General features: G+C 39.6%; 1 protein-coding gene across 4 annotated transcripts in view, besides 1 other annotated feature; it reads left to right on the top strand.

Annotated features, from left to right (window-relative positions):
- EPHA4 (EPH receptor A4) overlaps positions 1–23,308 on the top strand; it is a 156,176-nt gene extending 132,868 nt beyond the window's left edge. For 3 of the 4 annotated variants that reach the window (NM_001304536.2, NM_001304537.2, NM_004438.5), the window contains 7 exons: positions 4,213–4,274; positions 4,727–4,936; positions 7,044–7,193; positions 11,184–11,377; positions 14,716–14,871; positions 15,193–16,126; positions 20,783–23,308. In NM_001304536.2, coding sequence (NP_001291465.1) covers positions 4,213–4,274; positions 4,727–4,936; positions 7,044–7,193; positions 11,184–11,377; positions 14,716–14,871; positions 15,193–15,307 — 887 coding nt within the window. In that variant the 3' untranslated portion in view covers positions 15,308–16,126; positions 20,783–23,308. Of the gene's footprint in view, positions 1–4,212; positions 4,275–4,726; positions 4,937–7,043; positions 7,194–11,183; positions 11,378–14,715; positions 14,901–15,192; positions 16,127–20,782 lie in introns of all 4 variants that reach the window. The other variant, NM_001363748.2, reaches the window with a different exon arrangement.
- Positions 15,187–16,386: an enhancer, noted in NCBI's record as "BRD4-independent group 4 enhancer chr2:222289669-222290868 (GRCh37/hg19 assembly coordinates)". NCBI's record gives its function as "activates an origin of replication core promoter dependent on BRD2, P300/CBP, MED14 and CDK7 cofactors, and independent of BRD4, by STARR-seq in HCT116 cells {active_cell/tissue: HCT116}" and the evidence as "EXISTENCE:reporter gene assay evidence [ECO:0000049][PMID:35650434]".
- Positions 23,309–24,210: the final 902 nt, after the last annotated feature.

Here is a 24,210-nt window from a genome sequence, read left to right as displayed (position 1 = left end):
AGTATTTCCCTGCCGCCTGTCCATATCATTCCTAGTGAGCTACGATAGTACCACTGCACCCCAGTCCAGGTGACAGAGGCACCTGGACTCTATTTTTTTAATAGAAACCTGTCTCTACTTAAAAAAAAAAAAAAAAAGAAAAGAAAAGAAAAAATGAGACATTAGGCCTGGGGCAGGTGGCTAGTAGGACACAAAGTACAAAATCTTTAGGAAGAAGAAATGAGGTGGTTACTAAAATGGGAGAGAAAGTACACACTATACAGTTCAGGGGTCCTCAAACATAAGAATCTTCTGGAAAGCTTGTTAGGACAGTTTCTTGGGCCTCCTGCTCAGAGGTTTGATTCAGCAGGTGGTGTGCGGCCCGTAAGTTTGGAGTGCAAGAGAGCTCACCACAGGTGAAGCCAATGCTGCTGGTATGGGAATCACGCTTTGAGAACCATTGGCCTGGGGACAAACGACCGCATACCACCTCTGCTGCTTCTAAAGCTTGTGACCTTGGACTACTTGTTCAATCTTTCTCTTTCAGTTTTCTCATCTGTAAAATGGAGGTAAAAAGAGCATTTGCCTTATAAGGTTATTTTGGGGATGAAATAGAATACTTAGAGTGGTTACCACAATAGCAAATTTTTTCAGAAAAAACCTCGTACGTGTTCAGTGGTGCTATTATGTCTTAAGAAGTAGGTACATCTTTCCCCATCTTCAGAATCTTTCAAAAAAAAAAAAAAAGGAACCTTGGTGAGAAGGATATATAATTTTCCGCATAAGGTGAAGGCTATAATTAGCATAGAATAGCTCTATTTGCTTTTTGAGATTAGTTTTACAGACAGGATATTTTTCTGTTGCCTGTGGCCTTCAGGGCCGCCCAGAGCCCTTCACTACTTTAATTAAAAGATAACATTCCCTTTAAATACTTTTGCAGGTCCGTTTTCTAAAAAGGAGGCTCTGTTCAGCTTAGGGTGTTTTTCCTGTCGCAGACAGTGATTTTCCTAGCACCTCTGCAGAAGAGAGAAGAAACAGGGGATCTTTGTATTAAAGTCCCACCGCGCCTCTAAAACACGTAGCTATTACAGCTGTAACTGTTATAAACGACTGGATGCATTTGCATAATGCAGTTGTCACTGAATTAAAATGATTTAAAATTTCTATTGGAGAAGCTATTCCCTTCCCCCACCCCTTTCCTCCCCACTGCATCCCTGCCTACTGCAGGGAAGGAGACTCCTCTATCCAAGAGCCCAGCCCAGGCCTATTTTATAAGCCCCTTTGCTTATGGAGACATTCATCTTTGTTTCCCTTGTAGAGCTCATAAAGGATCTGACAAATGGATACTTTTAATAAACAGAAAATGGAATGCAGAAAATTTGTGAAGATGGTGCCAAGAGTCCGACTAGGGAGGTGTGAGGGTGAAAGGGTAGAGTGGAAGCGTGTGAATTCATTACCAGCAGTTACTTGAGTAACTTTTTAAATTGGCAGGAGGACCATAAATTCTCCGCATGACCCTCACTTTTGGATCCTCTCCTGTCGTCTCCACAGCTCCAGAGGGATCTGGTGAAATGCAAGGAGGTGTTAATGCACAGCCATGAGAGGCTGCCCTTTCTCGTTAGTTGACAAAGTATCTTTTGATTGAGGCAGGTTGATTAAAACTCATTTAGGCACATTTGTTCTGTCAGAAGACTATGGTCACAAGCTGGGCTCGGTGGCTAGTGCCTGGAATCCCAGCTACTCAAGAGGCTGAGGCAGGAGGATCCCTTGAGCCCAGGAGTTCAAGGCTGCAGTGAGTTATGATCATGTCACTGTACTCTAGCTTGGGCCACAGAGCCAGACCCTGTCTCTTAAAAAAAAAAAAGAAAAGAAAAGAAATTCACCCAGGCTTGAGTGCAGTGGCACGATCTTGGCTCACTGTAACCTCCGCCTCCTGGGCTCAAGTGATTCTCCTGTCTCAGCCTCCCGAGTAGCTGGGACTACAGGTGTGCACCACTGCATCCGGCAATTTTTTTTTTTTTTTTTGAGTAGAAAACCCTGGTCACATATGTAGAGGGTAAATGAATCTGAGAACTAAGCATTTCCTATTTGTATTGATAGAGAATGTGCAGACACACCCCTGCCAGCGTAGAGAAAAGACTTAAAAGTGGTTTTATGCACCTTTGGTCTGCACCAAGATTCCCACTTTTTCTACCAGCCTTCTTTCCTCACTTGAAAATAAAATGTCCATGGTACCATTTTCTAATGCAAAAGTGTTTGCCTCTGAGTAATTTCTTAGACACAACACCAAAAACTCAAGCAATCAAGAAATATCACAAATTGATATATTGGACTTCATGGAATTAAAAACCCACTCTTCAACACTTTTGCCCCTAAGGTGAAAAATTTCCCCATGCCCTATATGCCAGAAATTATAAGCTGATGGAATCACTGGGTGGAAAATGTATTTCTTTAGAATAATTATGGGTGCTTTTCAGCGGTGAAATAGTTCAGCCCATTTTTCTAGACTGAAGTCTAAATAATCAGCCAATGCAGCAATAAAAAGTGTGATTTTTTTTATTTTTATTTTTTTAGAATGACTCTCACTCTGTCACCCAGGCTTCAGTGCAGTGGCATGATCTCGGCTCACTGCAACCTCTGCCTCCTGGGCTCAAGTGATTCTCTTGTCTCAGCCTCCCGAGAAGCTGGGACTGCAAGTGCGTACTGCACCCGGCAAATTTTTGTATTTTTAGTAGACACGAGGTTTCACCATGTTGGCTAGGCTGGTCTCAAACCCCTTGCCTCAAGTGACCCACCTGCCTCGGCCTCCCAAAGTGCTGGAATTGCAGGTGTGAGCCACCGTGCCCTGCCAGTGTGAATATTTTTGGTATATCAAACTGACATTTTATTTTCTTCCAAAGGAATATTTTAGGGACCTGTTTTATCCTGCTCTTAGAAAAAACAAAACAAAGCAAAAAAAAACACCTCATGATTCCCACCCTCCACTTGCCAACAATAAATACCCTTTAGAAAGAAGGAATTTCAGACCTTGAGCCTATTGCCTGTGATCAAGAAGGTAAAGAATGGTTCTTATGTCCTAAAGTCCTCAGAAAGCGGACTTTTGTGAAAATCTTATTTACACCTCATTCTGCTCAGAGCTTAAAATCATTTTTATTTCTTTGCAGAAAAAAAAAATAGGTAGGGGGAATGGGGGAAATAAGGATGTTCTAGTATTGAATTTAAATTCCTGTCTCAGATGAAATAATTTTCTGAACCTTTCCTGTGACTGTTCTGGGGTTTTTGTTTGTTTGTTTTTTGAGGTAGGCAGTTTAAGGAATCAGACCAAAGCAAGTTTATTCATAGCTAGGGAAAGTGAAGAGAAAGACAGAGGCCCTGAGCTGAGCAAGACAGTGGAGAGAAGTCGCATGCTTGTTTTTTTGTTTGTTTTTTGAGACGGAGTCTCTGTATCGTCGCCCCCCAGGCTGGAGTGTAATGACGCAATCTCGGCTCACTACAACCTTGGCCTCCCGAGTTCAAGCAATTCTCCTGCCTCAGCCTCCTGAGTAGCTGGGATTACAGGCGCCTGCCACCATGCTTGGCAAATTTTTTTTTTTTTTTTGTATTTTTAGTAGAAACGGGGTTTCACCATGTTGGCCAGGCTTGTCTCGAACTCCTGACCTGAGGCAATCCGACTGTCTTGGCCTCCCAAAGTGCTGAGATTACAGGCATGAGCCACCGAACCCGCCTGCGTGCTTGGTTTTAAGGCTTGTCTGGGTAAGGAAGGATTCAACATAGCTACTGCTCCCTGAAACATGGATTTCTCTAAATAAAGAAGTTTATTGCCTATTGACCTCCTTAGCTTCTTACAAGTGGCTCTTCTGAGGACAAAATAAATTAATTATCCTAAAGATTATTTCTGCATTGAAACAGGCCTCCCCATTTATCATTTTCCCCTTTTGCTTGAGAGAGCAATTATCCATTCATATGCTCCCTGGATACCAGAGGCCACTTTAGTTAAAGACCTTGTCAACAAGCCACCCAAAGGTTTAACTATCCAGATGGAATTTAAACCTACTCGTCCTTTTAATATTTCATTCCTAGCTCCCCACAGCTGAGGCATAAGCTTGGCTTGTTTTAATTAAATTAGATCACACAAGACAGGTATCTTGGCAGTAAAATTGTGCGCAGCCCATTTTTATCTCATTAAGTGCAGCGCTCATCAAAGGTTTGTGTTTTTCTTTCTGAAAACTCTAGGTAAACCAGTAATGATCATAACAGAGTACATGGAGAATGGCTCCTTGGATGCATTCCTCAGGGTATGTGACTACTTTATATTAAACCCAAGAATGTTGGTATTTAGAAAACTCCTAACAGAGTCCTTGTGTTTGTTGTGTTCGGTGGTATTCGTGGATTTCTTTTAATGGGCAAAGAAAGAAGAGGAGAAATGGAGAATGATGTGATTTTTAAGGCTATTAAATAATCCATGTTCAACGAGGGTAGTTTTTGATTTATTCCTGTAATGTGGAGCTGTTGGAGCCGTAGATTCATTACAGTTGGATAATTTCCATCTATCACAGGAAGCAAACCCAGCTCCTAGGGTACAGTCTACTAGTGAATTAGCGACTTTGGTCAGAAAGGCCTGGAAATAATGTTGAGTTTCATTGCATACCGGATACAGATACCCAAAAAGATTCAAGTAATAAATGCTTGGTGAGAATTAACTTGGCCTAATGCTAATGAGATTGTTCCTCACTCCTTTTCTATGCAGAAAAATGATGGCAGATTTACAGTCATTCAGCTGGTGGGCATGCTTCGTGGCATTGGGTCTGGGATGAAGTATTTATCTGATATGAGCTATGTGCATCGTGATCTGGCCGCACGGAACATCCTGGTGAACAGCAACTTGGTCTGCAAAGTGTCTGATTTTGGCATGTCCCGAGTGCTTGAGGATGATCCGGAAGCAGCTTACACCACCAGGGTAAGAAAGATCGGTGACATCTGGGCTTTCACTCTGGTGAAACTGTTCCTCTCTTCTCACTTTGAGATTGAAGCCCTTTGTAATTTTTTTATTTTTTAAGTTTTCTCATCCCTTGAAGCCTCCTCATATTCCTGCATCCATTTTTAAACCATGTTTCCAATAAAAGAGGGATTTTGAAGCTGACTGTAGATGTATGACCATATTAACAGCCACAAACTAGAAGCAAAATGAATTATCTTTCCCTCTATGTTTTTTTTTGGGAGGGCAGGGGGAAGAAAGTGCTAATGAACAATAAGACGGTGTCTTAAATAAAAATGAGCTGAGAAGCAAGCATTAAGGATCAGTTTACACAACAAATGATCAATTACTGAGAAAATCAGGAGGTAGCTTCACTTATTTATTTTTTTGCACTTGTATTTGCCTGCCTGTCTTCCTGCCTCTTTCTTCCTTTTTTTTTTTTTGTTGTTGTTTTAGGTTTTGTATTTGCCTTTTTTCTATTCTTTAAAAAAAATCCTTATTCTAAATGAGACAAAGCAATGTTTCTAGTTGGTTGGCTACCAAATCTCAGAATGTATATACAGGATTTATAAAACATTTATACCATGCAAGGTTTTCCAGTATCTAATGGCCTTCATTTTACCACTGGTAGATAAGCGGGGATTAGGACACAGTGAAGAGTTTTAAGTACACAGTTAATGGCTGTGCTATCTTAGCTCGACTATCTGAATATAAAATACTAATGGAATAAACACAGAATCATAAAACAGTTATTGGCCATTAACACTGACACTGTTAAAATCAACACGAAGCTGACAGTTACCAGCCATTTTCCCCTTTTAACACTCTTCATTTTGCATCTGCAATCCCAAGCAATGGGGGTTTTTTGTTGTTGGTTGGTTGGCTGAGCTTTTTTTGGAGGGGGGCAGGGGGGTATAGTATTCTATTTCTTTGGCTCCAGTTTTGATTCTTATGCTTGTCCTCTTTTGAATTCCAAGTCCATTCGTTTAGAAAAGAATAGATCTTTGTGAATGTTGAAGATCTTTTATTTTTTCCCAGTAGTTGGAGAAAGAAAAGTTAAAGGAGGCTTCTAGAATGATACATTTACATAGATAAAACCTTAGCCAAATATTTAAGCAGGGGGGAATGCAGTACAAGTGTCCTTCTGTGCGTAACAAGGATGAATGCAATACACTGGGTTTTCAGAGTTTACTGCAATGTATCAAAGCAATTTCCAGTACAATTTATTGTCCTGTTTCGTAGCCCTACCTAAGAAAGCAAAGAAACCTTTTAAATGATAGCCCTGGGGATACCTCAGGGGTCTGAATTAGACTTGAATTAATTTCCCCAGGTGGAACCCTAGGACATTGAAAACCTGACTGAAAATACCTTATACCTAAGCATAAACAAACAAGACATTTGAGGCAGAAAAAAAAGTGTGTTTTGCAACTTTTCCTGGGTAATATTCACTTGCTTTACCATTTTACAAGTCTTTTTTTTTTAATTTAATAACAACTAATATCCTGCCCTTACTCCATTAAAGTCATTAATAGCTCTAGTATCTGGTATTATTTGGCTTTCTCTAAAGGCCTATTTATCATATCATCCCCTAGCTATTGGACATATTTCTCATGCTGTATAAGGGGAGGTAGACTTGTGTGATGGATAGAAATGTTCATATTTAAATTCCTTCATTCATGATTTTTGAAGCAGTGTAAGCATTGCCTTCCTTTGTGCTCCTGGGTGAGAGAATCCAACAAAAAATCAAACAAATGTCAGCTACATATCACTGATACCCCGTAGATAACACGTATTTTGTAAAACCTGAGATTTCTTTTTTTCTAGAATATTGCCTTAAGCAGAGCTCAGATAATAGGTAGGCTTTAAAAACATAATTAGATTACTTAGTCACTTCCCTGTGAGTAAAGAAAACATAAGAGAACTGTGTTAACCTGGAAGACTTGCGTTAAAATGAACAAGTGTCTTATTGTTTTGAGAGCTATCTCAAGAATGCTGTTGTCCTGCTTGGCTAGCAGGAACTACATTCAGAATCTAAAATGGCACATCAGTGATGTACTTAAGGAATAACTTATGGCTCAAATGTTCACAGGGTGGCAAGATTCCTATCCGGTGGACTGCGCCAGAAGCAATTGCCTATCGTAAATTCACATCAGCAAGTGATGTATGGAGCTATGGAATCGTTATGTGGGAAGTGATGTCGTACGGGGAGAGGCCCTATTGGGATATGTCCAATCAAGATGTAAGTCTCTATGTTCTGAAATATATTTTTTCACATTGAGATTCAGGAAGTTCTGCATTACTGTATGATGGAGTGGGCACGGGGTTTGAAATGATACATTAAACTCAAATTTCTTAATACAGATATATCTAGCAAGCTAGTTCAACATTACAACCAATGACTATTGATTTCAAGGACAAGAATTAAATGGCCTACATGGTACAGTATGGGAGATAGATACATACGCACATAGATTCATGGATAAAAAATATGGGATAGTATTTTTACTTGGTGAACTTTCAAAACCAGAGTAAAACAAAATTAAACTTTGACTTTTAAGAAAATGCAAAGATTATGAAAAAATAAATTTCACATATGATAAAACGGACATGAAAGGCTTATTGAAAGAAAACTAGTGAATATTTTAAAGCTGGCATCGTTGTAATTAGAGCTCACCCCTTGAGGACTCTAAAATAAAGCTTCACTCAATGACCCTTGGTAAATTATGCACATCCCTTTAAATGTACCATCTGGACTACTTCGTAAGGGAGTATCCACAATGACTGCAATTTCAGAAAAGGATTCAATAATGACACTAATAAGATTCCAGAGTAATAGAATTTAATTACAAACATCTCCAGTGAGAAAGAAAGAAAAAAAAATAAAAGAAAGCATTGATCAAGGGGTCTTCCTAGAACACGTTTTAGCTAATTCTGGAAAAGTTTACATTAGTTCTGGTAAGATTGGGAATCATATTAAAATTAAATGGCCACCTATACTTTTCGAACTTTCCTAATTTTTTATGTATGTGGTAGTCCATTATCAGAGAGTGTTTACAAATGCAAGGTATTCAGTTTATCAGTTATAATTATATTTTGGAAACTTCTTTTCAAAAATTCTCTCTGTGGTGGAATGTTACCTATCCATCTGCCTTGTCTTCCTCCAACAACAGGCAGTTGCACAGCCTTGACAGTTAGAGCCACGTGCACTTAAGAAATGGGATGCAGGTTGCCTTATCAATTAAAGAATGTTCAATGCAGGCCGGGCCCTGTGGCTCACGCCTGTAATCCCAGCACTTTGGGAGGCCGAGGCGGGTGGATCACAAGGTCAGGAGTTCGAGACCAGCCTGAGCAACATGGTGAAACCCCGTCTCTACTAAAAATACAAAAAATTAGCCGGGCATAGTGGTGGGTGCCTGGAATCCCAGCTACTCAGGAGGCTGAGGCAGGAGAATCGCTAGAACCTAAGAGGCAGAGATTGCAGTGAGCAGAGATCACGCCACTGCACTCCAGCCTGGGCGAAAGAGTAAGACTCCGTCTCAAAAAAAAAAAAAAAAAAAAAAAATACAAAGATTTGCTGGGCGTGGTGGTGTGCGCCTGTAGTCCCAGCTACTCGGGACGCTGAGGTAGGCTAATCGCTTGAACCTGGGAGGCGGAGGTTGCAGTGAGCCAAGATGACACCACTGTAATTCAGCCTGGGCCACAGAATGAGACTCTGTCTCAAAAAAAAAAAAAAATGTTCGGTGCAATAGAGAAATGCACTCCATGTCTGGTGGGGCAAAAAGAATTCTCTATGCTGACCAACCAGATTAAGGGGAATGGTAGTGTTCACACTGTATTATCTGTGGATTATAACAGAAGATTCATAGCAGATGGGAAGAAAGCAGCTAGCCTAAGTGATAGTAATTACAGGTTGGAAGAAGACTATGGAGGGGAATAGCATGTAATCTATTGTTTATGTGATTATGCTGTGCAGACAGCTTCTAGTAGCTTCTTGTAGCCACATTTGGATTCAGGTTAGAGACTCTCACAGGGACAAAGACAAAAAACCTAAATGAGCAAATAGTAAATGTAGTTACTGTAATTATTCGATACTTAAGCTTTCTTTTTCTTCCGTTGAAATCATGGCCAAATGTTCGTAAGAGCAGAGTATCTAAAGATGTCAGTTTTTCTACCCTAAATATGTTCAGATCTGTAATTTTGGCAGTTTATATATATGTATTTTATATATATATACACACATATATATAAAAAAACAATATATATATATAAAGAATTCTGTTGTTTTGAACTTTCAGTTCTCTGGCTTTATCCACGAAAAGGCATCTGAAGCCATTTCTTGCTCACAAATAATATTGATCTATTATTTGTCTCTGTGTTGGATTCTATGTAGAACAGGAATCAATAGGAAATGTATCTGGGGAATTACTTTGATGCATAGAATTAATTTGGCATATGGTAAATGGAGTGAAAGTAACTGTTGAAAATATGTCAAACTTAGCAAGTTTTTTGTTTAGTTTAATCCTCTGCCCCCCAAAATATTTAGTAGTAAACTGAGAAAATATGCTTTGCTAACCTATGAGCCATCTTCCAAGCTGGCAGTGGATAGGGAGCTTATGAAAGAGCATTAATCAGTCTGAGGGGTTATAACAATTTATGTTCCGCTGGCATCAGCCCAGTGTTGCTTTCATTCTCCTCAATTCAGTGCAAAATGTTCTCATCAAGTCTAGAGTCAACACGATGCACCTGGGAAGATAAAAGAAACCCAGGTGATCAAACTGACGTAGTGTAATTGCTAGAAACAAATAGAATAAGGTTCAATAAGACAGCATAGAGAAGTCTGCTTTACAAAGAAAAGTAGGTGATACTGATACATGATATTGGCAAAATACATAGGAGAAAAAGGATCAGAGGGCTTAATAAATCACAAGATGATTTGTTAAACTGAAACGGTGCTCTTATTAAAAAGATCACAGTCATACTAATCCATGGACCCTGGACCCAACAGACTCTTTTCTTTCGAAGGCCAATTTCTGAGCAGTCAATAGACCCACCACAGGGTGAGTCCAGTGAAGTCATTGGGATGGCTCAACCACTGCTTATTTCTCTGGCAGCTATCATGTTGATAGAAAGAAAAATAAATGGAGTGATTTAAAGCAAATAAAACTTTTAGACTCCCAAACAAATAAAAGCACCTCCAGAATCTCAGAGGATATCCATAAACAAAGGTAATGAGTAGCCAAAAAACTGTGAAGTAGTTCTCCTCTATAAATTTGGCATGTCCTACCATATTATTTTCTTGGAATTTATACCCCAAAGCAGGGGGAGGATGTTAGAGAAAAGGCTATAAGAAAATAATTTAATGCCTGTGAAGACAGATTAGAAAAATTAGAATTAGCAAAGAGACTGTTGAATGAGTTATTTATGACTTACTAGGCAAGGAGACCACTCTGGGCACTCTGGATGGTCTTGGCCAATAAGACAATTATCATGTACCATTATAACTTCCTTCTTTAGATGTGCGAGGGTCTCCTTTAAAATGTAAATGCCCCAAAAGAAGGAATTTTTTTAATTGTTTTTTACTTTTTTAAAAAAAATCTACTTACTAACACCTTTAACAGGGTCGACTGACAGCCAACTGAGACCAAGAAAGAAATTCAGAGTTGGTGTCTAGGGGTAGAGTAATCCAAAAGAAAAAATGGCTGGGCGTCTGGACTTGGACTCTGGTGTTGACACACTGGCTGTCTATGTAAGAGGACAGGGCCTTAAAAGGAGGCAAAGAAAATTCCATTTTGGAGACAGCTATTAATTGCTTCCCAAGGGAGGTCTTTGGCACTAAGTCAGAGTCTCTTTTGCGAAGAGTGTTTAGGTGTGCTAATAGCAGAATGGAGCGGGGCAGGGGACTGGAGGCAGGGGGCAGGGGGCAGGGCCACATGATCTCTGAGGGCCGTCACCAAAACTGACACCACATTGTGGATTTGACTGGGCTCTAGCCACTTGAGAACATTGATGCATCTTCCCTTTAGAGTACACCTCAGTGCAACAGCTGGCTTCCCTCTCCTGTTGCCAGTGATACTCAGGTCTAGCTTTGGCTCATGTGAAGGAGTTGGAGCTGTTCCCAGGCTCCAGCTTGCTGGCAGCTTCATGCACAAGAAACATGCCAGTCGGAAGGGTGAACCTTGAACAGCAGCTTGCCTGGCAGCTTAACATACCATCCTGTTGTCTTCCATAGGTGATTAAAGCCATTGAGGAAGGCTATCGGTTACCCCCTCCAATGGACTGCCCCATTGCGCTCCACCAGCTGATGCTAGACTGCTGGCAGAAGGAGAGGAGCGACAGGCCTAAATTTGGGCAGATTGTCAACATGTTGGACAAACTCATCCGCAACCCCAACAGCTTGAAGAGGACAGGGACGGAGAGCTCCAGGTCAGCCATGCTTACTTAATAGTGATGTATGAAAGAACACATTAGAGGAGGCAGGCAAGTGGTGACTCACTTAAATTCCTGCCTTTTCATCAGAGGCCACTTCATGGCTCTCTGCAACCTGGGTGGCTTCTTTCTCAATTAGTAGAGTATTTCAGGTAGTTCTATTCAGCATTTTGAATAACTAATACCTGTCAGGCATCAAATAGTTATAAGGAAAAAACTTTAAAAAATAATAATAGTAGGAAAGAAATAACTGAAGTGCCTATTTTAGGATGCCAGGCCTGAAATTTAGGAAGAGGGGTGAAATGTACTTTTAGAAGACGTTCAGATCAGTAGGTGCTATATTTTGAAATGGGGCAGGAACACTGGAATAGTAAGAAATAAAGATTAGAAAACAGGTCTTTAAGCACGGCAATTTTAAGTTGATTTATAAAGTGTTAATTGTAAGAAAGAGATTCATTAGGTTTCAGTTCTTCTGGTTTCCCTTTTCTGAGTCTTTCAGAGTAGGAGGAAACAGGGCCAAGATAGGAAATGATTGAGTTATAAAGCATGCAGATGAATGTTTGGGAAGGATTTTAAAGACCAAAATGATTGGACCACCTGAAAGAGGTAGTTATTTTCTTGGAATGAGCAAAATGAAGAAGTATATCAGTCTGTAGAGAACATAAAGATACTATAAGTCCTACAAGTTCAGTGAGAACTTTCTACATGGAGAATGGACTTTACTGGTATAAGACTCAGGATACCTACATATCAGTAGTCTCATCTGAAAGGGTGTGGACCATCTTTATCAGTTAAATTATTTTAGAATACAGGCATAATAGACCAGGTGACTCAGGCCTGCGAGAGGTGAGACACTCACTCATCTCCAAGTCTGAGCTTCTCACAGGCTTCTGTTTCATCATGATCCTGTGTTAAAAATAGGAGGACATTTTCTCCCGTAATATTTAAGCCCTTCCAGTCTTTGCAGGCCCTGTGGTGTTCTCCTCTCATCTTTCTCCTGAAAACTTGGACTAAAGATTCTAGAAAAGAAGGAAAACACATTACATGAAAAAAAAGAGAACTGTGGAATAGATAGTAGAGATACCCTATATTCTCCACCAGGTTTTCAAATCCCTGTCATTAGCCACTACACAAAATGCTCAATGGTCTATCCAGCTCTTTTCAAATAACACTGAAAAGGGCTGAATTAACATTTCACCTCTGCCACTTGGTCACTATGTGAACTAAAAAAAATTAAAAGTCTCCTACTATTGTGAGGCTATTTCTTGTTCTTCTGTTCTCCAGGAGGGTGAAATAGATGACTATAAGGCCTCCTTTCCAGATCTAGCTGACTTCTCTTCCACCTTTTAGATCTTCAGCACCAGAGCCCATGTATTTTGTCTGAGGGTCCATTCAAGGCCAGTTTTTTGGTGTTTGGTACTTCTTCTGTTAGCATAAGTCATTCAACCACTACTATCACATAGCATCTGCTTTGCCCCAAGGTACAGAACAAGTTGAGGTATTAGATACACTATTATCAGTTCTAAATTCTTTTTGCTGATGGTACTTAAATAGCTTTGAAGCTTATTATGGCTTACCTATAATGAGATGTAGTATAACATGGTATGTGATTCAGCACAAAATTAGGCTAACATCATGGTGTGCTACCAAGAGCACAGAGGCTTCCAGAACAAGCTTAAGAACCACCCTTAAAGTTAATTGACATCGAGTGAAGATATTTTCATTGTAAGGTCATTTTGACCTTGTCGGTGCTCAGAGCCTACATCTTCCTCATTAATGCTTTTGGCTTAAAGTCAGAAGTAAATGCAAACTATTGGCTTTTGTCTAATAACAAATATTATTGCTATATATCCACACTCAATTAAATGTCCAAAATTCTATGTGGTAACATTTGTTGTTGACTCAAAATTGAAAGAATAATTATATCTTGATTATTTTTGCTGTAAACATTTACAGAATTGTACTTAGAAAATCAAACTTATATTGAAATAATGGACACAAAAGACAGGTTACAATGGCAAGGTATTATTTGGACACAAAACTGACTGATAAAACAAATCTTTGTTAAAATATTTATATAAAAAAGAAATAATACAAGTCAAGTCAATTTAGATAAAAATGAAAATTTTAAAAATCGAATTGGATTAATTCTGCTATGTAGAAAAGTAAAGCATTATATCGACTTAATTTTGTTTTTACAAGGAAAGAGTTTTTTGGTTGAAAATTTAGTAGTAATGATATAATTGTGATTTAAATGTTTGTACTTAAACATAGTATCACGTTGAAAATCAGGTCAAAATGTTAAGATCAAACACATTCTGTGAGTTTTAGGAAAAACAGAAGTTCAAAAACTATGACTTAACAAGTAGCAGTATTTTTCTACAGGTTATTATAAGTAAAGGTAGTATAAAATAACCCCATGAAGGCCTGCTCTATGGTTATTCAGCAATTGGGTGATGAAGATAACTAACTATAATTCTCTTAATAGTTTTTATTAGTAAATGATTTTTTATATGTCAATATCATTAGGAAAGGCAGAATTCCAGCCTGTAATTGCTTGTGACAGTGACCTAATAGAAAACACCTGGCCTAAGAAATGAGTAAACTAATAAATAAGTTAATAAGAAGTGCTTTGAATTTGTTGAAATCATTATTCAGGAACCCCAGCAAGGGAATACGAGAAGCACATTCCACAATCCAAACAGTGATCAAAGTGGCCGTTCTTCTGCCAGCCTTGGCACTCGTGCTGGTCAGGCATGGATTGATTAAAGAGGGGATTAACTCCCTGCTGTCCCAAGTTTGTTTGAATGCCCCAAGCCTGCCTGTAGACTAGGCTGGAAGCATGCTGGACTTGAATTCTTGCTGTTTTCTCTGCTTCCATCCAGTCTGGCAGGTGGCAAGCTCGCAGTTTTCCTTACTCATCCTTCACTAGGGTTTCCATAGTTGCTGAACGAAAGTCTGTAATATTCAGTACTGGCAGAGACTGGACTCTTTCTGCAAAGATTGAACAGGTTTCGGCCATGAGGGCTCTCCCAGTCTTCACCCCAGGCTAGGGTGTTAAAAGACCTGCTATGAGCATGAATGCCCTCAGAGGGCCACATAAAACAAGCGCAGGAAATAGAATTAAGAAAAAATAGGATGATTGATACATGCTTTAGCAGCTTTGTGAAGTTAAGAGCAAAATATTGCATAGTTACATTTAACAACAATTGTTCCATTTAAAACCTTCCCTTAGCTTTTCAGTTCTCCTTGCCTATTTGAGGCAATCAGATTTCTGAGTCTTCTTGTCTCACTGGTAGCTCCGTTCTGCTTATATTTTCTTGTTCTCTTTCTAGACCTAACACTGCCTTGTTGGATCCAAGCTCCCCTGAATTCTCTGCTGTGGTATCAGTGGGCGATTGGCTCCAGGCCATTAAAATGGACCGGTATAAGGATAACTTCACAGCTGCTGGTTATACCACACTAGAGGCTGTGGTGCACGTGAACCAGGAGTAAGTACTCAACGATGTAACACGAAAGGGTAAATCTAGATTTAATAGTATTTTCTTTTTTTGCTTTGAGCTGCGTAATCATCCTACTCATTTAAAAAAAATCTGGAATGCCTCTCATTTTGATTGAGTATAATTTTACACAGCCTCTATAAAGTATCTACATTCTTGCATTAAATTGCTTAATGAAACATTTTAATACACCTGCCTTGTTGTGCTGTATTAATTGTGGCTGATTCAAACGTGTGTCTGCATGAAGCCCAAGAAAAGAGATTGTCAGTCCCTGTGACTTCTTCTGTCCCTTTTTTGTCGCCCTATGTACAGGGACCTGGCAAGAATTGGTATCACAGCCATCACGCACCAGAATAAGATTTTGAGCAGTGTCCAGGCAATGCGAACCCAAATGCAGCAGATGCACGGCAGAATGGTTCCCGTCTGAGCCAGTACTGAATAAACTCAAAACTCTTGAAATTAGTTTACCTCATCCATGCACTTTAATTGAAGAACTGCACTTTTTTTACTTCGTCTTCGCCCTCTGAAATTAAAGAAATGAAAAAAAAAAACAATATCTGCAGCGTTGCTTGGTGCACAGATTGCTGAAACTGTGGGGCTTACAGAAATGACTGCCGGTCATTTGAATGAGACCTGGAACAAATCGTTTCTCAGAAGTACTTTTCTGTTCATCACCAGTCTGTAAAATACATGTACCTATAGAAATAGAACACTGCCTCTGAGTTTTGATGCTGTATTTGCTGCCAGACACTGAGCTTCTGAGACATCCCTGATTCTCTCTCCATTTGGAATTACAACCATTGTATTTTGTTTGTGGCATAAATTACAGTCATCTGTCTTTCACTGGAATGAAGACCATGCCTAGGAACATTTTTTAAGGACTCAGCTGTGGCTTTTAGGGCTTGGTTCATACCATGGGGGAAAAAAAAGTCCTAGGAGAAAGCGACGTGGCTCATTAGTGTTGCCTCTTCAGTGCTCAAGCCGCCTGGTGGATTCCTATGACACAGGGGGCCTGGAAAGAAAGGGAAAGTGGATTTAAAATATATATATACGTAACCCAAGCCCCATAACCCCTAACTGGACAAATGAGGTCTGTTTCTTTGGGCCTGAGGCTGTGCCATATAAAGTCTTATTTTGGGACTTTACAAACTTGTCCTAACTATCTTGTGGATAGTGGGCTGTGACAATCTGGAATAGAGAACGTTCACACTTCGCTCCTTTAAAGAAGCGACCCCAGATCTGCAAGGTAAGTCCAACAACCAAGAATGATTTTTTCTCCAGTGAAAACTCCTTTTGTGCTTTAAACTTGATCTCATTCGAAATACTGAAAACAGAAAAATACTCTCTCATGTCTCTCAGGTTGTGTTGATGTTTTTCAGGATTTCAGTCCTTTTTTGACAGCGAAAGAGGAGACCAAACACAGTGTGGTTTCCCTGCTATTCTTCCGGGGAGAAGTGACATATGACCCAGATGAGGTCAGGCTCTGAGGGATGGTCCTAGATGCTCACTGGCTGTTGGCTGTGTGCTTTCCATCACGAAGGGCTCCTCCTGTCCTTTGGTGCCATTCATTCATGGTACACATATTTATTATCTTCTGGGCACCAGGCAGCAAGCACAGGAGGCTTTCTCTCTAACCTTGTTAGGTCATGGGTCCCGTCCTTTGGAGAGTTTACCTCAATGGAGAAGTACTGGCGAGACTTTTCCATTAGCCTCATTTTCTGTCCTGCTCCAGGAAACTCCATCCCCAAACAGGGCCAAAGAGGATTCACCAAGATGCCAGTGGTGAGACTTGGAACTCGCCTCGGCTTTCTCATGATCAGAAAGTTGAACTACTGAAAAATGCACTGCTCATCCATAAACCTATTAGCTTTCAATGCTTCTATTTTTATATACCAGCATTGAGTTTGTTCATTCCTAGAAACAAAGGACATAACTTTGGACTGGACACATTTTAACTTTTCATTCTTTTTTTTTTTTTGAGTTATTTCATTTTTATCACTTTTAAACAAGAGTTGCTGATTTTAACGACCTTTCTTTCCCCTTGGTTGTATCCTGAAAGCTATTTCTTATAGAGCAAGGAATGTTAAATTTGATGCTGTCAAATCATGACAGTTTAGTGAAAACCTTTTTTGCAACATAAGTTGTAAAAGCTTTTCTGTTCAGAAGGAATGTGAAATTTGTTTTTAAAACTACTCCAACAATTTTTGTTTTATCACCACTTTTGCAGAAGTCTAGGAGTTCTGGATATTCACGTTAAAAGCTGACAAATGTAGGACTTTTTTGTTTCTTTTGCTTGCTTGGTAAAAAAAAAAAATTATTATTATTATTATTATTACTATTTGAGACAAAGTCTCACTCTGTTGCCCAGGCTGGAGTGCAGTGGTGCAATCTTGGCTCACTGCAACCTTGGCCTCCTGGGCTCAAGCAATTCTGCCTCAGCCTCCCAAGTAGCTGGGATTACAGGCACCCACCACCCAGGCCTGGCTAATTTTTGTATTTTTAGTGGAGACGGGGTTTCACCATGTTGACCAGGCTGGTCTCGAACTCTTGATCTCAGACAGTCCACCTGCCTCAGCCTCCCAAAGTGTTGGGATTACAGGCGTCGGTCACTGCGCCCAGGTGGCATTGTATTTTAACTAACAACAGAATGTTACCTTGTGTACATTGAATAATTAAAAGTTTTTTTTTTTTTTCTTAAAGTCTACAACTTAAGACAAGGTATTTTCTAAACACTGAACATATTAAAAGCAGACCATTTCAACAGAGAACATGTCCATTCTGAAATAGCCTAACAACATTATATACTATGCTGGTGTTGTTTTGTTCCTGCTCAGCAGGTATTTCTGTAAATGAAGTAATCAGGGAAGGATCAAAGGAGAGGTGAAGTATGAAATCTTATTTTATTCAAAGGTCACCGTCTGAATCTTCAAAATTTCAACATATGCATATATTAGAGTCAAGGCTGATGCAAAGGCCAAAAAAGGACTTTCCAAGTGCCTAAAATAATATCCAGCAACAGTAAAAGTGTTAACTCTCTCCACTACCTCCATGAAGTTTTAGAAGAGAAATGTGAGAACAATAGGAATGATGCATTGTTTCCCAGGGCGCAGAGCCAGACTCTGGCATCCGGACAGCTATGGATTCTAAAGCCAACTGAAATGTTGACACTGGGAAATTCACTCCACTTTTCTTTATAACTCAGTTCCTCCACCTGGAAATTAGAGAGATAATGATACCTTAATAATAACACCTTTCCTAATGCATGGTGTTGTTGCAAGTGTGTATGAAATATTCTTAAGTAAAACACGGTGAGCTCCACAGAAGAAAGGTACGCTTCTTCCTCCAACATTGTCCAAGTATTATTCATCTGTCTTTCACTTGTAACCCCAATTGTTTTATTACAACATGCCAGAGTGGGGTGAAATGAAGTTCAGTGGTAGGGGGGTCACACAGTGAAGCTTCTTCACTTAAATGGATTTATGAGAGTTTGGAGGTAAATACATATTTATACAATGGTGGTAGACCTTTCAAGTTATGCTGGCAGGATAAACATGCATTATTTAGCCTTGACATTTATAAAATTATTGTTTTGTAATGGGGAAGACAGTGATACAAAAGTAAAATTCTATTGCAATGAAAAGAACTGGATGGTAAAGACATTTTGATGTCATCACGACTGACTCAAAGGAACAAGCCTTTGTTTATTTAGTCACAATGAATTCTCCTTAACTCATGACCCTACATAGACCACATGCTTTGTCTGGTCTCTGTTTAAGAAATTTCCCATGATAAAGGAGTTGCCTGAATTCAATGGTGAGGAGAAGGCTTATTTCACTCAACTCGTATCCTGGCATTAAGTAGATACAAGTCTTCACATTCCCTTACATCTCAATTCAAATGTCCAATCATTTCTGCATACACACCAAGTCCCCAAATTGCCCACTTAATATTACAAATATATTTATGTAATATCTATTGATATCCAGATGTTAAGTGGAGAAGGAATTGGCAGACTGAAAGGCAACACGTGTTTATGAGACCATTCTTTCTCCTTTAAGAATTTCTAGTAGCAAAAGAAACCATTACCAACCTTGTGTGTCCGCAGGACGTGGAATACACTCTAGCGTTTTAAGATCATATTCATGTTCTCCTCATACTTCACATAAATACCTGCCCACCTGATGAAATCCCTTCACATTCAGGTTTCAAAAACTACATTTGATGGATTTGACCGATTTCCAGAGAGGAAATAGTTAGAAGGTAGATTTGATGACTTTTCTGTCATTTTTACGTAATTGTCAACATAACATTCATGTTCATGTCGACCCAGGGACCACAGGTGTGCACAACCATGCCTGGCTAATTTTTTTTTTTTTTTTTAAAGATGGGGTCTTGCTCTTTTGCCCAGGCTGGTCTCAAACTCTTGGGCTCAAGCAGTCTTCCCTCCTTGGGCTCCCAAAGTGCTGGAATTACAGGTATGAGCTACAAGACCTGGCCAGAAAACGATTTCTCTCTCTTTAAATAGACTAAAGTGTTTTCTACAATTTTAAATATGGTCGTTTACTACAAAAAATTAAATTTTATTCTCTACACGATAAATGTACACATATGCAAAACAGACAAGTGATTTGATAAAATAGGCAAAATAATCTATAAAAGTGCATTTTGGTCTTAATTACTGCCCTTTGCTTGAGGCCACCAGCTGCTAAACATGGTCACCGTGGTGGGAGGCATAGTCCAATAAGTAATCTGGATAGTTGGTTGTTATAAATGAAAGAAGGGAACTTACTTCCTTTGGTTTGAGTTGATTATGTGACAAATATATGGACAATGAGGAGCCATGAGGAGTCCATTGCTGTGTGCCAGCCTTGTTCGATTCCAGGCTGATGTCTAGAATTCCAGCCTGCGGCTGATTAGTTCTTGATATGTGGAAGGAGGCTTGAACCTAGAAGACCTCTGTCGTTCATAGAGCAAGTATCTCCCTGTGTCCCATGTTCCCTCTCTCCTGCCTGTTTACATGTAGAGAGTATGGCTCTTTCGCCATGTTAGATTAGATACTTCTATTTATCAGGAGTTACTCTCTTGTTAAGAAAAACCACCACTTTTTTTCACTTCTTAGTTTGCATTTTTCTTTTTTTTCTTTTCTTTTTTTTTTGAGACAGAGTCTCGCTCTGTCACCCAGGCTGGAGAGCAGTGGCGCTGTCTCGGCTCACTGCAAGCTCCGCCTCCCAGGTTCACGCCATTCTCCTCCTGCCTCAGCCTCCCGAGTAGCCGGGACTACAGGCGCCCGCCACCACGCCTGGCTAATTTTTTGTATTTTTAGTAGAGACGGGGTTTCACCACGTTAGCCAGGATGGTCTCAATCTCCTGACCTCGTGATCCGCCCACCTCGGCTCCCAAAACGCTGGGATTACAGGCGTGAGCCACCGCGCCCGGCCCTTAGTTTGCATTTTTCAATCATTATTGTTGACTATGGGTGGATTGTGAACTGAAACAAGTCAGGATTTTCATTTCATAGACAGGCTGTTCAACACGGTGGTTAAAGCATAAATATCAATTAGAACTTTGTGGGGTCTAATCCCAGCCTTGCCACTCCAGAGGGTATGGCATTGGGCAGGGTACTTAGTCTCCTTATGCTCAATTTCCTCATCCATATAATGGAGATAAGAATAGTACCTATCTCGGAGTTGTAATTAAGCTGTTAGTAAACAGGTTTTTTTTGCTCTTATAATTGCTATTTTTCAGAAAAGGAAAGTATAATTCGTGATCTCACCACTGAACTACTTTTACTGAAGGATACCAACTTCTACGAACCTATATATTCTTTCTTACAATAGTGGTTGACAGTTGGCTCGCAATATGGGTCGACGTTTTGTCTAAAGTCTTGCTCTTTTATCTACAGGGAGTAGATTCTGCTATCTTGGCCTCACAGCCCTTCCTGTTGATTACAAAGCCCGTGGAAGAAAACAGAACACACCCTCCTCAGTTCCGTCTAAATGTGTTTCTTCTGCTTCAATTACACCAGTTCTGGGGCAAAGACACTGATGAAACAACACCCATACCTGAAAAGAATAAATGTGTGACTTTCAAATCCCCTTTCGCAGTGAAAGAAACAGCAAACACTTAAGATTCAGCATCTGTTCTCCAGTTGCACTGAGGAATGCACTGTCTCGCAGCACCAGCTCTGCAGAGCCCTTGCCCCAGACTCTTTGCGGTTTTATTTATATGTATTTCCATATTTCATTCCTGTGTGTCACTGCTGCATTGGTGTGGCAGCAAGTGACCAAATGCTACAGGTCTTACTATGGACACCAGGTCAGGTGCAACCACACAAAACAAAGCCAGTTCCATGAGCTGCCTATGATATGCATTGCGGAAGTAACATTTTACCCAGGGTGTGCCATTGCAGTGATATAAATATATTTTTTTCTTAGACTAAATATGAGCTGACTATCTCTTTTGATGTGTGTACATAGGTGTGAGTGTGTCTGTATGCGTGCCTGTCTGTGTGCGGGTGTGTGTATGTGCGTAGCCTCATGCTTAGGACTACCCATGAATGTTGTGGAATGCTACACCTGGAGAGTTCTGGTTTTCCACCAGTTTCAAGATGAAGAACTACATGATACAGTGGACCTGGAGACCATCCCCTTGGAAAGACAACCCAGAGATGTTCAGCATCCTGTATCTACACGCATCCTGTATCTACACGTGTATTTTGTAGCTGTCACACTAACCTTAATAAGAATTCTACAGCTTTGGACAGAGGCATTTTCACCTTAATGGTGAAGTAATTTAAAATATAAATCCATTCAGGTGACAACCCATCATCAAAATTACAAATTTTCTGATTGAACTCATCTGAATCATCAGTTCCTTGATGGAGAGAGAGAAGGAGATGGAATGTGTCTGGTAACCCCAAATGGAGTACAAGTAGCCTTTGTTTTCCTGCATAAATGGACTTGTTGAATGCGAACGAATATATGCAATTCATATACTTTTGGAGATGAACGTAGATATGTGTGTCAGCTTTGAGATGGTGTGTCCTGGATTAATACTTTGTCTCCCAATATCACAGAAAAATACATGCCAGTGACTCTTGAGGTTAAGGTAGTTGGGATGAAATGGCCTCAGGCAATTTCACATTCCCTAATTACCTGGAAAGTTCTACAGTAATTAATATGCAGCTAACTCCTGTTGCCCTCACAAGAGCATCAGCCTTCTAGAATCGGAGCTCCGGAGTGTGAAGATTCAGTATTGATATGATATGTATACCAAACTCCAGCCAACTTACTGCCATTTTTCATAATCTGAGTGGCTGCCTTGCTTATCCTAAGCTGTGGTTGCAGAAACCGTGGCCATTTATATAAGCTATAACATCAAATCAGGGAAAAATGAGGAAAAAAAATAGATTCTGAACCATTTATTGTTGAATAAGTAGAGAAAATCATCAATAAATATTTATTACATTCTGACAGGGTGTGTGGCATTGTGTTCTATGCCAGAGTGACAAAGTTGATTCACCCCTTTTTGGGGACCTTAATATATTTTTTAAGGGATGTGCCTATGCATTGATGCCTGAAAAATATGTATAAAGAAATGAGGTTGACTCTTCTGAGCAGTTCATCTTTTCCAGAGGTAAGGGTAGGAGGCCAACTTCAGGGTCTGGGTCTGAGCCCGTGGGCAAGCCCTGGCCGAGTGAGCTCCAATGCTAACTCATGTGCCGATCTCTAGAGCAGTGGGAAACTACCCCGCTGCACCAAATCAAGTAGCTTCACCTTGTGTATGCAGGCCCCAAGTTATTTTTTAGCAATCTTACGAGTGAAATGTTCTGGTGGGTTGAAAAACGTTCTTATTTTAAAGAAAGGTTGTGCTCGCTACACTGCTGGTGTGTGCATTCTGAGACCTCTTGTATTCAATCTGTGAAGGATATGTGTATTAATCCGTACACCCGTATAGCCTCAATATTTGTCTGAAGACACTTAAATTCTGACCCATAAAGGAAAGTTCTAGAAGCAATATTTTCACTTATTTAACATTCTCCAAACAACATCAAGCATTGATACACACTGAAGAGTGCGTTTATTTTTTGTATCACTCTAAGTATGTTGGAATATGCAAGGACTGTGGTTCAAATTAGAATGTATAAGGCATATTATAATTTAGTTCATACTGAATAAGAAATTAACAGAACATTGTTCGGTTCACACGTTCCAAACTTTGAGTGATTTCTGGAGTTAGACATAGATTTTCTATTTTGTTTTAATTTGTCAAGGTATTTTTCTTCCCTTCATGAACTTTAGGTACACATAACTTATGTCATTTATTTATGGTCTTTTATACCTAGTTTGTAAAATTGTAAAATAGCAAACTAAATGCAAAGAGTTTGCATTTGAAAATAATAAAGTAGTTGCCGTATACAACCCTGCAATCTGGTTGTCTCTTTCAATAACTTTTGCTATATATATGGTGTGCCTAAATGAATTAATTATTTGTTGTCATTTAATTAAAACAAAAAATCTTAAATTCCAACTGAGCATACTTAGAGGTTAAAAAATTATTATCTTCTAAAGATTCTTCACCCTTCAGAACAATGCATTTGAAAAATCTGACTTAGACCATCGTAATTAAGACTGTAGACTATGGTTGGCATTCAGGCTTCACCACTTACTAATTATACAGTCTAGGGCAAGTCTCTTAACTTCTCTCTGCCCATTTCCTTGCTTGTAGGATAATTACAATGCAAGAGCTTTAAAAAGATTAAATATATTGAAACATTTAGCACAGTGTATAACATCCAGCCAGAACTCAACAAATGGTGGTGATACTCAGTAGCTTTTTTGATGATATAAACTTTCTTCTTCAATACCCCCAGTTCCCTCTCTTACATCCTTGTCACTGATCCAAGCAACCAGCTACCCATCCTTGCCAGGTGCTTTCAACCTAGGATCCACGGATCCTCGAGGGTACATTGGTGCTCCAGCAGGTCCAACAGCATCCCTAAAACTGAACAAATGTCAGTTATTACATTTGTATATGTGTTTTGATGGGGAGGTTTGCAAAATTTCATCAAATTCTAAATTGCTATGGGATATAAAAATATTAAGGATCACTGTTTTAAAGCTGAATGATCTCCTCGTGATGCTATTTCATTAAATTATCAATTGGCAAAGTCCCTATTGATTGAACATCAGATTTAAGTTTTATTTTAGTATCTCAGCTAAAGCCCCTAAGAACAGCTGGCTTCAGAGGGCAGGGGTGTGCCTTTAGTGTTACCGGCAACATTGTAAAACATGGGTCTTGTCTGGTTACTTTGTGTTTATGCCTTACTTA

The sequence above is a fragment of the Homo sapiens genome, chromosome 2 (genome assembly GCF_000001405.40).
Source record: "Homo sapiens chromosome 2, GRCh38.p14 Primary Assembly".
NCBI lineage: Eukaryota > Metazoa > Chordata > Mammalia > Primates > Hominidae > Homo > Homo sapiens.
This window is presented reverse-complemented; position numbering and strand designations above follow the sequence as displayed.